Source organism: Homo sapiens, chromosome 1 (assembly GCF_000001405.40).
Source record: "Homo sapiens chromosome 1, GRCh38.p14 Primary Assembly".
Lineage (NCBI taxonomy): Eukaryota > Metazoa > Chordata > Mammalia > Primates > Hominidae > Homo > Homo sapiens.
The window spans coordinates 34,351,291-34,368,636 of NC_000001.11; the positions used below are offsets into that span (position 1 = coordinate 34,351,291).

The 17,346-nt window shown below is 44.8% G+C and overlaps 2 annotated features.

The window, feature by feature from the left end:
* Positions 9,579-9,628: an enhancer, noted in NCBI's record as "active region_713". NCBI's record gives its function as "activates an Ori minimal core promoter by ATAC-STARR-seq in GM12878 lymphoblastoid cells {active_cell/tissue: GM12878}" and the evidence as "EXISTENCE:reporter gene assay evidence [ECO:0000049][PMID:35858748]".
* Positions 10,695-10,764: an enhancer, noted in NCBI's record as "active region_714". NCBI's record gives its function as "activates an Ori minimal core promoter by ATAC-STARR-seq in GM12878 lymphoblastoid cells {active_cell/tissue: GM12878}" and the evidence as "EXISTENCE:reporter gene assay evidence [ECO:0000049][PMID:35858748]".

Consider the following 17,346-nt stretch of genomic DNA (forward strand, 5'->3'; position numbering starts at 1 on the left):
TGCATCAATTTCACACATTTCCAGCCCAATGCTCTGGAAGGAGGAGGGTGGTCTGGCCTGCTGACAGCTGCCCATAGCTGTAGCATGACAGGCCAGGGACTGGCAGGAAGGCAGCAAAGGAAATAGAGGGAGCTGAGGGATAAGCCACATGGACACAGAGCCCTGGCTAGGCCACATGAAGTCCTTGAGGGCTTCTGTGACAAGCTCATGCTGTGTTTTCTGTTGGAATGGGGTTGTGGAAGTAACATGTATCAATACTGATTGTGTGCCAGGTGGTAGGACCTCGTACTGAAGAGGACATGGTCTGCTAGGGGCATCTGTTCCTTGTGCCACTCAGCATCCTCACTCCTCTTCTGGTTGCTTCTCTCTGGACAACCATCCCCTTAACTAGCCTAAACTTAAATCAATCACTGTGGCCTTCTACTGGCTATGGTGGTTGAATCAGGGAGGAGCATAAAGTCTGATCAGAACCTGCAGGTACAATGAATCTTTCTTGGGGAATCTGAGATGTTTCCTTGGCTAGGCTAGAAGCAAAGAGGGTGTGACTGCTGGAACTGCTACAACGCTCTTCCTACCACAGGGGAAATTCCTGTCTGAGAAAGGAGCCAACCTTGAAGACAAAAGTACAGAGATAGAAAAAGAAACCAGGACATGCATGGTGAAATTCCTTGAGCCTCTGTACCAAACTGCACCTGAGGCAAGTCCTATTTCCTGGAACTTAAGAGTTACAAGAGCCATAGATTTCCTTCCACTTCATCCAGTTTGGATTGGGCTTTCTTTAACCTGCAATTGAAAGAAAATTGACTGAAACCAAATCACTACCTTCAGAGGGCTTTACTCTCTAGGTGGGGAGAGAAACAAGAAAAGAGGTAGTTTGCTAGACTTTCATAGCTTCTCCATGAGACAAACATGGGCTGTGGGAGCCACCAGGGCTATGTATGAGTGGAGTGTCCCTCAGTCCTTAAGAAGAGGGTGGGCTGACATGTCGGAGTTGGGTGGTTGGTGTAATAGCAGAGAATACCTTTGTTCTCACGAGTCAACATTCTCAGTTACTTCCAGCCATTTACTACTTCCAGTCTCTAATGCCTTCTAGTACCTCTATCCCCTGCTTTTAGATAACTTACCTAATATCCACCCATCTATCTCTCTATCCATCCATCCACCCAAGCATAACTACAGTGTTGCCATCTCTTCCAGCAGGAAAGCTAAATCAGCATGGTCTATGTTTAAGGTCCTAGGAGTTCCATGCAGTTATGCCTTGGGTGCAAGGTCAATTCAAGACATCATCATGTAGGGCAGCCAACTCTCTCTACCTTGAAGCTGACAGAAAGTTTTTGGAGGGGAAATTTAGCAAGATCCAGAGGGAGGGACAGACAGGAGGGAGAAAACCAAGGTGGAAGGTCGTCTTCGTAGGACCACAGCCTCTGCTCTGAGTCAGGTGTTCTTGATGACAAGAACATCCTGCTGACTCTTCTGGGAGCAAGGAGTGGGGCTCTTCTTTTCTCGTGCAGTAAGTTTTGCATGAGAGATGTGAGGTTAAAAGGCAGACTTACTAATTATGCTGCTCATTCATACCTTCATTCAGCTCATTGCCAGTCCTGTGCTAGTCGCAGAGATGCCCGGGACTCATCCCTGCCCTCAAACAACAGATGGTCTCATACTAACAATTGCTTCATGCTGGGAGTCTTCTGTGGTACTCAGGTGAGTTCCTCTCTGGCTATCAGTCCTCAGCGCCAAACATGAGATGAATCCAAGTCTGGCTTCTCTCAGAGTTGAGGGTCCAGTCCTGATGCAAATAATACTAATAATTTCATTATTTTTGCTAATTCTGCCAAATCCCATTATTTTGGCACTTTACTTTCTAAATACAAAGTAATTCTTGGTTAATTTAGAAAATTTGGACTGCACACAGGAAAATACAAAGGAAATAAAAGTCAGTAACCCACTGCCAAGTGAAAAATCAAGTTAACATTTGGAAAATACATGTTTCTAGGTATATACACACACACACATTCATAGTGTTGTCTATATTGTTTTATGGCCTGCTTTTTTTCACTCAGCCATACATTATATTCTCTTATGTCAGTAAATATTCTTCTACAACTTTGTTTTAATTATTCCATAGTATCCCTTATTATGGATATTTCATAATTTATTTAGCCAACTGCCTGTGGTTGGATATGCAGGTTATTTTTAGTTTTCATTAACATAAATAATGCTTTATTGAATATACTTATACATACATAATTGCACATATATTCCCCTTGATCATTAAGACAAATTCCTAAAAGTAAAATTGCTGAGTCAAGGCTATGGATGCACATTTTTAAGGCTTTTGACAGATATTGCCAAATTGCCCTCTAAAAAGATTACACCGATTTAAGCTCCCTCCAGCAGTGTACAAGAATGCCCAATTCCCTATACTTGTTGTTGATTTAATTTGCATATCTTTGTTTCCAGTGAGATTAAATTTTTTCTTATATGTGTATTGTCTATCTGTAATTTTTCTTTCGTGAATTGCCTATTGATGTCAATTGCCTATTTTTTATGGGGGTGCTTATCTTTTCCTTTTTGACTTCTGAGAACTCTTCTTGTACATCAACCTTTTGTCTATAATATATGTTTATTATATTTTCCCCAGTGTCTCATTTGCCTTTTAATTTTGCTTTTGATGTTTTTTAACCCAGTGAGGAATTTGTTTTTAACTAATCAAATTCATTAATCTTTTCCTTAGTTTTTGCTTAGAAATGCTTGAATGCTTAGTAATGTGTAGAAAGGCCTAACCACCCCAAGTTGATATAAACGTTCTCCTAGAATGTTCTGCTCATTCTTTTACGGTTTAAATTCTTTTGTATTTAACCCTTTAACCACCTGAAATTATTATGTTGCTTGTTATGCAGTAAAGCTGTAATGGCTATAACTTTAATTATTTTCCCAAAGAGTTAAGAAACTTTCCCAATGCTGTATCACCCTTTCTCCCCTGTTTTGAAGCAAATCTATGGGTGTAAACAATACCTGCTAGCTCTAGAGATAACAGTGATTTATTTGAATGGAGTTGTAAACTGAAGATGTGGTGGGGGCATCTTTGCCTCAGTTGGGTCCCTGGAGTCTATGGCTATTTATCCAACAATATTTACGAAGTGCCTACAATGTGCACTCTGGGAGGTGCTGGGAAAAGAGGGGAGTAAGAGAACATTTCTGCTCAGTCTTTCTGGTGTCTGTACCAGATATGTAGGAGATGCTGTGGTGTATCATGCAGAGCCCTCTACAGGACACAGCCAAGGCACTTATTTACCGAGTGGTCAAGAATGTTACCTGCTGACAGCTTACAGTTCCCTCCCTAGAATTTCCCTCCTTCCCCCAAAGGGTACTGCCTGGCCCAAGTTATGTACACTCCCTGGGGACAGCCCAAATCCTACAACTGGTCTATGAGTAGAATCAAAGGCCCAACCCCCTTACCTTAATTCAGGACAACTCTGAAGGGCCACCCAGCTCCAGCGCTCCCTGTGGGAACTGCTGAGGTCTCCATTAAAACTACTACATCCCAACTCAACCTCTCTCTCTGCCCAGTCCTGTTTCCCTCATTTGTCCCCTTCCAGATGTTCTTGAAACCACTCGCTCCTCCCATACTCTGCACAATAAAGTCCCTGTATGCAAATTTCCATCTCAGAGTCTGTTTCCCTGAGAACCCCACCTGAGACAAGGTGCAAGGTTGTGGCTTTTGCAAGGCTGAAGAGGGGTGGATGAGAGGGTGACCCCTGGGCCATAGCAGGTTGGCCTGGGCAAGGCTCAACCCAGCAGGCTTGGCTCCATCATCTTCATCTTCACAAGAACTTTACACATCAGGCTGTATCTCTTGAATTATATAATGGGCTCTGAATAGAAGAAGGACAATTTAGCATGAAAATTATGAGTTTGAGTTTTAGCAACAGAATTATGGTTTCAGAAGTCCTCTCCTGGACAAACTTGCAACAATTAGGCCATGAGCTCAAGGACAAGATACTAATAAAATGTCACAATTTAATTGGCTTGTTCTCACCCAGTCCCACTGGGTGGTGCTTCATTTCCCTGACCTGAACAAAACTGGGCGCTTGTACTTTAAGCTTTAAACATAACTAGGCTCTTCTCTTAGGAATATTCACATAATTGCTTCCATTTCTTGGTGGCTGTTGACATGCATGTGTGTGTGTGTGTCCGTGAAGCATGTGTGTGTGTGTTTATAGGAGGCTAAAGCCTCAGACTGAGGACTAGACTCCTCTTTAGTTCAATCACCACAAAGGAGACAGAAACATCCCAGCTCCTCCTGAGTTTTCTACATGTAATCACACACTTTGCTTTTTCCCTTTTGGCTATAGCAAACCCAACTTTACAAGCCCAGACAATAAGATTTATTACCTCATATTACAATCAGGCCAGAGGCAGGCAAGCTCTGGGTTGATTAATTTAAAAGCCCACCGATGGCATCGAGGAGGACCTAGGCTTTTTTTATATTTTCTCTCTGCCATCCAGGATATCTTGGCTTCATCTGAAGTCTGATTTTCCCCATAGCTCTACAGCCATTTCCAGCCATCGTATCTAGACTTGTTGACACTGAGAAAAAGACAGCACCTTCTCTTCTCTGGGTATGCTTTTAAGAGCGGGTAGATCTCTCTTAGAAGCAATCCTGCAGATGTTCCTCCCAGATTACTGTCCAGAGTTGATTCCCAGTCATTGACAATGGGGATGGGATTAGTTTAGACTCATCAGGATGCACCACTCAGGGTTGTGTCCACTTCCTCCAAGGCACATGGGCAAGTTGGGGAAGGTGGATATCCAACAAAATAGGGGTTCCACTGAAAAGGAGGGAAGCAGGGGTGGGAACAGATATTGAGGGTTGGCAACCACCCTGTCTGCCACCCTTACCAGCTCACATGGGCAAAGGCAGAGCAAGAATGGTTTGCTTCAAGGCAGTGCAGGGGAGACCTGCAGGGCAGGATGGAAGGTAAGAGGAAAGGAGGACTCTCACATTTCACAAGTGAATCCCCTTGTGTCCAGCTGCTCTCCCCTGCTGTCTGCCCCTCACCAGCTGGGATCCAAGCCCTGCTCTGTTTGTCATGAAATCTTGAGCACATCCCATTTTGCTCCATTCTTAAAGATCTGTAGTTGAGTGATCACAGGAGGAACGGCTGGCTGGGAGTAAGACAAAGAAATATCTGAAGAGCGCAGGTCTCTCTGAGCTGCCCATAGATCTTCTAAGACTTTGAGGTGATTACAAACAGCCCCTAATATCTTTGGGCAGATCTTTAGCATAATCTTTAGACTGTGCTGGTTGGAATAAAGATTAGTAGGGATAAAAGACATCCAAAAGAGGAGAAGAGGGTGTCACAATCAAACACTGAGCTACCCTGTTTGTCCCTTGCCCATTGGCCCAGACAAGCCACATACTAGAGTTATTAAAACACTCGCAAAGATGGTTACCAAGCCACAGTTTGTTGATATTTAAGGAATCATGCAAGTCTGGAAGTGACTGGAAGTCTGGAAACAGGTAAATGTCATTCACATTTTCAGTCATCATAGGGGGCAAGTTCTATAAGCCATTATCTCAACCCAGAAAAGGGTATCCGGTGTCTGTAGGGACTGGACTGTGAGTGCCCAGACAAGGATGCGAGGCTCACTGCTGGTCTGCCTGGGTGCATTTAGAATAAGTCATGTCAGACTGACCTGATTTCCTTCTTTGCCAGGGCCACTTGAGTATTGAGAGCAGGGACATGTGGTAGACACAAGGTCAGTTCCTGCATGACCTAGCTCTACCCTGCTGCACACTACTGAAAGTCTCAAGTCTCTCAAGCCAGTCTTGCTCAATCTTGGCAGTGAATTCGGTGCTGCAGAGGTGTTAGTCTGGTCCACCAATTTTGCCTTCTGCTGGGATATGCCGGCACTATTCACCAAGGACCTGAAACCAAGACACTGGGCTTCTGAGCCCACGGTCATGCACTCACTCATTCACCTATTCAGTTTCTCATGCATCCATCTACTGCCAAGAATTTACAAGTGCTCCCTGTGTGATAGGAAGGAAGCTCAATTCTGAGGACAAGGTGAGTAATGAAACAGACACCGTCCCTCCATATGTGGCTCATGCAGTCCAGTGGGGGCAGAAAGGGAAGGTCACCACATCCACTCCCCTGCGTTTGGATGACAAGAGCAGTTTTCAAATTTTAGTGTACACAGAAATCGCCTGGGGCTCTTATTAAAATGCAGATTTTGATTAAGCAGACCTGGGACAGATCTGAGGTTCTGCATATTGGAGAAACTTCCAGAGGAAACTCATGTCCTTCATCCTTGGACCACACTTTGAGTAGCAGGAGACTAGAGCACCTTGCGGGGTGGAGGGTGCTAATTCTCTGTCCTAAGAAGGCAAAGCCCCAGCCATCTTGGCAACAGTCTGGTATCAGATATCTGCTCATGAGTGCCACCCTCCAATATGTCTAGAATATCTATCCATCATCAACCTCAGCAGGGAAATTACTTCACTCTGGCCAGGTTAGTACTGGTTCTCTGGAGGCTCTTTTGCACATGTGTAGAATCTCTGAGCTCCAAGAATAATGTGGGGAAGATGGTACAGAGCTTGGCAATTCAACCAATTTACATCTTTCTTTGCCGTCTGTGTCTGCTCATCCTCCTCCTCATCAATCATCCTCATTGTAGCTAACACTTAACCTCACACTTCCCACAAGCCAAGCATGTTCTTATCATATTACCATTGGCATTAACATATTTAAATCCCACAATCAAGCCTGTGAGGGAAGTACTGCTAATAGGTAGGTATGTATTAGTACTCCCATTTTGTTAGTTGGGGAATCTAGGCACAGAGAGGTTAAATAACTTGCCCAAATTCACACAGCTGACAAAAAATCTGGGCTTCCTGGCTCCAAAGGCCATGCTGTCAACCGTTAGCCTCTACATTTTATTGGAGACTATAAAAAGACTTTGCATTCTTCCATTGAGAATTCCAATGAAACAAGCCAAAGCTAAACAGGGGAGAACCTCTGATTCCTCTCTGACAGGTCTCTGCTGTGGCACAGCTTGGGAGGAGGAAGAAGAGGAGGCTGTGGACAGGCAGAGACAAGCAGAGTTGGGATGCATTGACTGGAATACTTTGGAATCTTGGTGAGATTAGATCTGCCTATTAAATTGTAACTTGTGAGTGGATTTGGGGAGCTAAGGGGAGGTGGAGGTGTGGAGGTGGAATGTGGTTGCTCTTGCATAAAGTATGGGCCGCACAGGAGACAAATGCCCTGGCTCTCCTTGCAGAAGCTGGAAAGTGATACAGTCTAGGTGTGCAAGACGGTGGGCACCCAGTGGTCCTGAGTCCAAATGGGTAATTCTCTTTTTTTACTCAGTGTGGGGACCACTGTAGGGGCCCCTGTGGGTAGATCTGACTGAAGAGGCGCCCTGGGGAAGCCAGCCACAATATCACTTTCTTCTCCACTCTAGCCTCTGCTTCCCAAACATTTTCTCAGTGTGGGATTGATGCCCTGGAGGCAGAGGGGGAACAGGAAATGAAAACCCCATGAAAAATGCAATGACTTCATTTTAAATGTATTAAAGAGCCTGCTCATTTATATTACTGTTGTCCCCAAACAATTTTATAAGCTTAACCTGACTTAAGTTTTGCCTTGGGTTTCCCAAACCAGCTTTGATTTGTGGGGATAATTCACGACTACATGGAGACAAACTTTGCTCTAAATATGCTATCCCTAGCTGAATCCTCACAAAGATCAGGCTGACGAAAGGCCCATCAGATCACCCAGGCCTCAGAGGCTGGTACTGGGGCCAGGTGAGTGCAGTGGTGTGGGCCATCTGACCCTGGATGTTGCTGCTGTACATGACATGAAGTGAGCCCAAATGCAGCACAACCCCCCAGATTCCTCTGACACTAGCATCCAGCCCTTGCTTACCCTGTAGGTGCATGCAGCCCTTGCTTAACCTTACACATCAGGGAAGAAGGCAATTTCAGGGATAAATGAGCCACAATTTTCCCCTTTCCTTCTAATGTTCCATGAGACCCAAAGTTTCTAACTTTGTGTCTCTGGAACTCTATTTTCTGCTTCTGAAAAGTGGAAGAAAACTTTTGCTTTTGAGTAGCGTTTATGAAGAGACAGAGGCTCCCCTACGTAAGCCTTTCTAAGCTTTGGGAAGTTGGGCCACTCATGTCCCCTCTCTGGGCCCTAGAGTCCTAGTCTGTAAAACAAGAGGATTGGGCTAGATGGCTTTCAAAAACACTCACCTTCATTGAATTAGTGAGCATGTCAGTTAATGGGAACTTCAGGTGGGGGTGGCAGAAAATGGGGCTGGAGAGGCAGTGAGGGAGTAGAAGGTGCTGGAGTTTGGGCTGGTGGGGTGGGGACTGGTGCAGCGACACTGCAGAGAAGTATATGCCCTATGAACCTGCAATCCCACATGGAAATTCTCACACCAATCCAAAGGGGACATGTACAATAATATGCATGGCACATGCGATTTGTCAGGGAGAGAGCTGGAGGTGAGCTTAGTGTCCGTGCAAGGCAGTGGAAGTGATGGAACTAAGTGTATGTGCACCAACATGAACAGAATTTAACACAGTGAATGAAAAAATAAGAAACACGTCAAGGTCTTAATACACTATTGCTTATGCAGATGAAAACAATTCTTATTTTCCAAAGGTTCATGCAAGCTCAAGGATACCCATACAACATGTGTGTGTGGCTGCCTATAATAGGGAGAATAGTGACAAAAGAGAATACACATCAATCAGAAAGATCCTGACATTAGTCCCCCACAGACCAAGGATTATTTGACCTTGATTAACTTGACCTTTTGCACGCCGGGTCCACAAAAGAGCTCCAAACAAACAAAACAAAAATCCTACACTAACAACTAAAAGCATTCCTGTGTAGGTGATGGGAAACAAAAGAAAAATATTTTTGTTCTTTGTTTCTGTTTCTGTAAGCAGGAGAGTGATAAAATTTTACTTATGTTTTAGAAAGACTTCTCAGGTGCTTATGAAAAGAAGGGACTCCGGAGAGGGAGGGTCTGGGGTTGGGGAGGCCTGTGAGGAGGCTGCAGCCAAGTCTAGGGGTCAGTGGTAAGGCCTGAATGAAGGTCATGGCCAGGTGGGGTTGGGATGGGGAGGGGCAGGTAAACCTCCACGATTAGGCCCTTTGAGAAGGGTACAGGCTTGTGAGCTTCTGGGTCACCTGGTGGGTCACAGAGGAGGCCAGTTCTGGTGTACGGGACAAGATTATGGACCCGACCAGACTTGGGCAGGGGCAGTAAGGAAGTAGAACCTGGGCGGACTACTCTGGAGTAGCTCAGTCCCTTTGGGAGAACACACAAGACCCCAGGGCCAGGAGGGCATCCCCAGAGGCTGAGCTGAGAGGTGCCCATAGACAGGGCACCTGGGGCTAGGAAACAGGGTTAGGTGCTGCTTGCAGGTGCTGTGTGGACAGGGAAGAGGAACTGGATTGGATTATTTTGTCCTTCGCCTGATTCATATTCTCCTTCTGACTCAGCCCATTCATCAAGCCCTATGTGACAGGGGCTTTCCATCCATTACCACATGTAATCCTCATGCCATCTTTACAAGGTTAGAGCTACAGAGGTCAACCTTGACCCTGGGCTTTTAACCAGATTCGCACCCTGCCCCACATAGGTGCCTTACCCAGCTCCCGGCAAGCACTGCGGACCTTTCTATCTTGTCCACTCTTTCCTTATGCCTTGCCTGGCTCCACTCCTCTTACCTTGCTTGTTTCTTGAACTCCACCCTGGAAAACATTGCCTCCCCAGCTCCCCAAAGGCACATCTTATTCCTATCATCTGGCTCCTCCCTATCCTGTCCATTTATCTCTGACCATCAAGACCCTGAAGCTTTTCTAGCAATTGTCAGTCAGGCAGGTGAATTGGCTCTTGTAAGGCCACACAGCCAGGGCAAGTGGGTTGAATTCAGGGGCAGTGACTCCAGGTGCAGCACTCTGGACACTCTCTGGGCTATGGGGAAAGAGAGCCAGGATGGCCCTGAGGTCAAGCTGCTGATCTCCAGAGACCCTGCTGTTTGCTCCCTGCCCGGATCCTGGGAGTCACTGGAAACAGAGCTCAGAGGAAATGTCTTTCCATGGCAGATGAGCCTCAAAGTCGATTTCCCAGGAGGAGCCCAACAAGGTCCTTGAAACGTGGACATCAAGGAGGAAAATCAATTGTCTTTTAAGTTTTCACCTTGATGATTGATCTGCTGCTTCCAGCCCCTTTTTTCTCTCTCTCAAGTCTGCAGACGTGGCCTCTCTCCTTTCACATTTTTCCCCTCTCATCTTTAAAGTGTAGGGTTTCCTGATTCTGATCTGAAATACACTGCCTCATGCAAACTGACCAGATATTGGTCACATGATTCCGAACTTTTTATTTTCTCTGAAGGAGGCCCTAGTTAGCCCATAGCAGGGACTCATGTTTGTCTGGTCCCTGCTATGTGCCGGGTCTTTTTGCAAGCATAGCATCACCTCATAGTTAATTCTCCCCCAAAGCCTGTCCAGATGGATTTTATTGACTCCAGATCTCAGATAAGGACACCGGAATTCAGGGGAGAGAAGCAAACTGCTTGATACCATACACATGGTTTGCAGGTGGTAAGGCAGAACTGAAACAGAAACAGTGCTTGTCTGCCTCCTTTCTCAGAACCAGGACTGAGCACCCCAAGTGGAATGGGCACTTCAGCTGGGCAGTGTTAGAATCTCCCTTGACCTTGACCACAAAGAGGTTGAGTTATTTAGGAAACCAGCTCCTAAAAAATAGAGGGCTGTGGGGTGCTGTTCATTCATTCAGTATATACTAAATACCACCTCTTTTCCCAGGCACTCTGCAGGGCACGGAGGGCAGATACATGAGCAATATAGAGATTCCTTTCTCTGCAGACATTATGGTCTAGTAGGAAAGCTGACTAAGAAAACATGACCAAGTGAGGTAAGAGCTGTTGTAGGGGAAGTACAAGGCATTTGGGAGTATACACCAAGGACTTCCAATCTCATTCAAGGAACAATTGGAAAAGGAGTCCCAAAGAAGAGGCTGATAATCTGAGATTACCACTTTGCTATAGAATGGGTAAGAGTTAATCTGGCCAAGTGGAGCAGTGGGATTGGGGCGGGTGTGCCCGTCGGAGTGGGCAACAACAATCACAGTGAAACTTCAATGTCTTCCACCATGAGCCAGGTAAGTCCCTTAGGACAGGGACTGTTCTAAGCACTTGACATGTGTTAAGTCATTTAATTCTCACAGAAGCGCCATGATAGAAAGTCCAGAGGAAGAAAGAGGTTTAGTAGGTCTGAGGCAGATGCTTAGGGAGAGAGGATGCTGCAGAAAAAAGCAGGGACATAGACAAAGTAAACAGGGTTGCCAATAAAATTCGAGATACTCAGTTTGAATTTCATATAAGCAACAAGTTTGTTTTTAATATAAGTATATCTCAAATATTGCATGAGATATACTTATGCTAAAAGAATTGATGTTTATCTGCAATTCAAATATAAATGGGTGTCCTAGATTTCTATTTGTTAAATATGGCAACCTTTGTTTGTGAGCCATGTTGAAGGGTTCAGCTGCTGGCCTCAGAGCAGTGAGGGCTCTTGGAAGGTTTTAAGGAGAGTGGCACGGCCAACTCTGTGCAGTAGAAAATCGCTTTGGCTGCATTATGGAGAGAAGCCCAGAGGCAGGGAGGCAGTTTAAAGAGCACAGTTCTAAGTCTATGGAAAGCACCTGTTCTCCAGGTCACAGCACACATCAGCCAAGCATGTTGCTACGTTTCCCATGCCCATCTCAAGTAGCCCAGGTGCTCACTAAGTAAGCATTGAGCACCTGCAACATGGAGATCCCAGAACGGCTTTTGAACCTGGTTAGACCAGTGCCACGATAAGTGATAGGCCCCTGAAGAGCCCAGGTAATGGGCTTCTAAATCAGGCCTTGGGCAGTGAGCCACAGAGCAAACCAAAGAAGGCTTTAGGGAGGCTTGAGCTGGGTTCTGATGGATGCATTAGGAATTCAGCTCTCTCTGCTACAGCTGCTAAAGTATATCCTAACTAACACTCTCTTAGACTGTGCCTGCTTCTGTACCCGTGGCTTTATGAGTTGGTCTGTGTGTAGTTGTATCTTCTACTTCATATTAAAGGAACATGTTTCCTTTTCCTGTGGCTATTGGCATCTTTCCATCAATCATATCACTGTCACCTTGAGACAGTCACACCCCAGGGAATAAGGGAAGGGTGTCCAAGCCATGGAAATGGCATGTGCACCAGTGTGGAGACAGAGAGCAGCATGATGCCTTCTGGAAAGTGTGAGGAGCTCTCTGGAATAGGAGGGGCTGGTGAATGAGGGGAACAGTAGTAAGAGCTGGCAAGACCAAGCTGGCAAGACCTAACAGTAGTAAGAGCTGGCAAGATCTGGAATTGGAGGGGCTGGTGGGTAAGGAGAACAGTAGTAAGAGCTGGCAAGCCCTAGGTCATGAAGAGCTTTGTGCCTTAAGACATGGAAACTTTCACTAAATACTTGTGGAGAGACACTGAAGGATTGCAAGCATACGACTGACATGATCAGACAGGATGGTCTCAGGAACCACTCTGAAGACAACTCTGGCTGTGTTTTGGTTGTTCTCAGAAGACAACTCTGGCTGCATTTTGGAGGGTGGTTTGAAAAGAATCTACTGCTGCTGAGAGAACGTGAGAGCACTGGGTCTTGGAAGGAGACAGCAGCAAATCAGAGGAAAGAGACTCTTCTCTGGGTGTGTTTTGGAGCCACCCCTTTTCGCATTCAGGAAAGAGAGAAACCAAGAGACAGAGAATGCCAGAGAAAGGGTGGGGCCTGTTCTGTCTGTATTTACAAGTCTGAATTCACATCCGTGGATTTTGAAGGTGTCTTTCCACCCAAGGACTTGAGAGCTGTTATAAGGCATAAAAGAGATTTCTCACTGTATTGGCTAAGCTTTTCCTGAAATCATGCTACGTCCAAACCCCCACAAATGTAGTAGCTGAAAACAGGAGTCACTGATTGGTACAACTAGTGGAACTAGAGCTGTTGTAAGGGAAGAGTATATATTTATTACGTTTATTTGGAGTTGCACCTATTTTCAAGCTGCCGGTCTGTAGATTAGCTAGAGTGCCCTTGCTTCAGACCCTAGGTCTGTAGGTCAACTGAAGAAATTCTGCCCCATGCATCTTATTCTGGAGCTCAGAATGTTCTTATCATGTAAGTTGAATGCTCCCAGAGGGCCAAGCAGAAAAGTATTAAGGTATCTCATCTTAACACTTGGACCTCGCTCCTTGCTACCCAGATTCTGTTGGTCAAACAAGTCCCATCGCCAAGCTTCACATCAAGGGGGTGGGAGGCTATATTCCTCTCACAAAGGTGGAGGAGAAATTACATGTTGAGCAAATATCTAACTATCACAGTTACTACAGAGGGGGACTTACTAACCCAAGGTCAAACCTGCCTGATCACAACAGAAGAAAGTGCCACACATGTGGTCATACCCTTCATTATGACGTGAGCGCTCTGTGCCTTGGGATTCCAGCTGAAGACCAGCATGCCCGCAAGAAGTCTAACCCTCTCCTGGTCTTTCTAAGAAAGGCATCTTGAATGAAGGCCAGAAATTAGGTAGGATCTGCATGTACTTTACAGGGGAAAGAGTATAGCAAAACTTGCAGCTTTATCATGAAGAGTATTCACCCCAAAATTAAATCATAGCCAAATGAATACTGAGGCTCGTCCACTAGAGATCTATTTTGATGGGAGGCAGAGGAGCCTATTGGGAAGTGAATCACCCCAAGGAAAGAATGGGTGAGATGCATAAAGTGGTGAGTGGTCCATGGGGCGATATGAGAAGGGGGAGCTCCTAGCAGAGTGACTCATCTATTGCTCAGTGCCACTCAATTTCATGAACCTCTGTCTGGGTACAGGGTGAAAGGACGTTCATGGAGAGTGAACAGCTTCACAGTGCTTTTGCTGTATGGTTTCTAGGTGCTTTGGAACCAGGACTTTTTACAGCAACAAGTGTGTATCAGTGTAAGTTTCAACTACATATAAAGACCCCAAATGAAAGCAGCTTAAACAAACTTGTGTGGTGGTTCCTTGGTGTCATTATGGAGCAAGACTGTGTCATTCTCAGTAGGTGACTTCCATTCTCAAGGCCAGCTCATGGTCTAGGAGGGCTGCTGGAGCTCCAACCATCACACCTGCATTCCAGACAAAGTAAGGAGGAAGGGAAAAGGAAGTGAAAGGGTATACCTTCATTGTTTTAAGATGTCTTTGAAGTCTCACGTTGCATTTCTGCTTCAATTCTATTGGTCAGAACTTACTTTCACAGCTGCTTGTAGCTGCAAGGACTACTGGGAAGTAGGATCTTTTCACTGGATGGCAATAAGTCTAGCTAAAAATTTAAGATTTTCAATAAGAAAAAAATGATAGTGGAAGACCACAGCATTCTCTCCCACAAGGAGAAAACACCAATGTAGATATCCTTGATGTTGGGTGGCATTAACTTGCTCTAGAGTTGGCAGTTCCTCTGGTTGAAGCACTGGTATCTGCCGTATTGCTGCAAGAACTGATCAGTTTGCTACTGTGAATATCAGAAGTCATCCCATAGTGACCTAGAGTGGAGAGGAGAAACAGGATGCACATTGATGGTTGCCAAGAAAAATAATATGTAGGCACAATCGGACCCTAGCAGGAGGCTCCCAGAGAGCCCCACCGAGTCTGTTAGGATTAAACTAGGGAACTACTGTATGTGCCTGAAATTGTGAGTTCCTTCCTATCCCAGATGGGATAATCCAGGAGCCAAAAGTTATGAGCCTTAGTCTAGACCCATTGCTGTGTTTCCTTGGTCACACAGCATCCCACACCCTCCACCTCCCTGTGCCCCTGCCCCATAATTCTGCCCCGGATTCTTCACTGTCTGTGTTACTGAGCTATGGAAATTGTGTTCTGATCCACAGGGACTTCTTAAAGCTAAGAGCTTCTTGTGGGACCTGAAATTGTCCTCACAGTGATTTCATTCAAAGTAATAACAGCATCAGATGCTATAGAAATCTCATCCTCATGATCATAAGCATTTATAATAGCCCATCATTGAGCAAGTGCTTACATTGGAGAGGAATTTCCATGGAGAAAGTCGATCTTTCCAAAAATGTTAATTTTTTGTGTGAGGAAATTAAATGAGATGCCAAATTGTCTCTGTCATTATGTTGCCCTTCCCTCCTGAGCATTTACTGCTCTGATCAGTATGACATTTTCACATGCAGCAATGCAGATGGGGAAATTTGCCTCCTGATGGAGACCCCTCATTTGCCCATTAGCCAGCTCTGCATAAGCAATCAATCGCCTGCTCCAATTTTAGGGCAGTCAGAGCATCAGAGCAGAGTTAGAGATCTCCAGACCCTGAAGATCTGGCCACCTTTTGAGAGGTGAACAAGGGAAGCTCTCCCCGTAACAACAAATAAAATCAAGCCTCTGGGAGACAACAGTCTTGGAATATGTGCATGAGGAATTTGGGGACACCCAAGTCCTGACTTGTCTTGTTCCTTCATGAAAGACCAATCCCGGGTGATGTCCCTTACTCTCCTTAGCTATGGCTGGCTTCTCTTTACGATCCATTCCAGTTTCACACCCTGCTCTGCTGCCTCAAGCTACCTTGGGAAACACCCACCTAGGGGACCCTGGTGAGCCAGCCCTGAGCACACCCCAGCTCTCTCACCCACTCACCTCAAGAGTAAACCCAGGCATCCAGCAAGGGGTCGTGTACACAGGGTTATTGCACCCCTTGGGTACTGTAGTCATCTCCTCTAGGGATTACAAGCTTCTCAAAGCCCTAAGAAAAATATGAGGCATGAAAAAGGAAACTATTGACTTCAAAATGAAAAAAGAAAGCAGCAAAATCAAAATGAATGTGTTTATGTAAATGCCTATGAAGTATAGCATTATGTCACCTTCATTAATTGTTAAATTTAATATTCATAAAAATGTCTTTACACTTAAAAGCTATTTGCAGGTTAGTTACTCAGAGCCAAATTATTTTAAAAGCAAAATCATAAAAATCCCCTCAATTTTTACAGCAAAAATTTATATTTGATGTGGGATGTGGGTATATTTAAATATGTTTGATGTGGTGTGGGGTAGAACCTCCAGAAATGTGCACTTAGGGCCTTTGAAAGTCATAAAATGCCTGTGAGTATGTGGTCTTGAAAGAATGTAATGAAATATTAAAGAATCTGTTAGATTGTACACCAAGCCATCTAAATGCCACTATGGCAGTGGTTACACAAATTATAGCAAACAATGGATTAGCATGCAACCATTAAAAAGAATGAAGTGAACTTATATGTGCTAATAGAAGAAGATATTCAAGATACACTGTTACATGAACAAAGAAAGTTGCAGAACGACATCTACAGTGTGTTTTATTCTGTGTCAAAATACTTTCTGTGTGTGAGTACACAAATAATTATGTAAATGTATGCTGTTATATAGGTGAAAAAAGTGTCAAAGGATCCACAGAAAGAGCAGTAATTTACCTCTGAAGATCAGAAATGAGGGGTTAGGAGATGGGGGACATCTATTTTCATGTTTATAATACTCTATAATATTTATCTAAATTGCAAGAAAAAAATGATAGGTGCATATATTACTTCTATAATTTTCAAACAACAGCAACAAAATTGCAGAAGGGAGTGATATGCAGGAAGACCTGAAAGGGAGAAGTTTGCAAACGAGGAACTGGCACTGTTGATCTAGCACCGTCCATGGGCTACACCTCCGAGCATGGCTGACGTGGCTACCGAAGTGAGCAGAAGGGGCATCCATGGATGGTTCAGCTGACTCAGCAGAGCCTGGAGGACACAACCCTGCAGATTTTTGTCCTTGCTTTGCTCAAATTCCATATGCATTAAGCAACCTTCTGATTCAATGTAGTTTCATGATGCAACCAACATTTATTGAGCATTAATTGTATTAGTTTTCTGCAGCTTCTTTAACAAATAGACACACATTTAGCGTATTTTCTTACAGTTCTGGAGGTCGGAAGTTCTAAATGAGTCTCACTTATTTAGGTCGGAAGTTCTAAATGAGCTAAAATTAAGGGGCTAGCAGGGCTGCATTTCTTTCTGGAGGGTATAAAGGAGAATCCATTTTCTTGTCTCTTGCAGCTTCTAGAGGCTGTATTCCTTGGCTGGTGGCTTGTTTCCATCTTCAAAGCCAGCAGCGCTGCATCTTCAAATTTCTCTCTGACTCTGATCTTCCGCCTCCCTCTTCTGTGTATAAGGACCCTAGTGATTACATTGGGCCCCCCTGAAAAAAATCCGG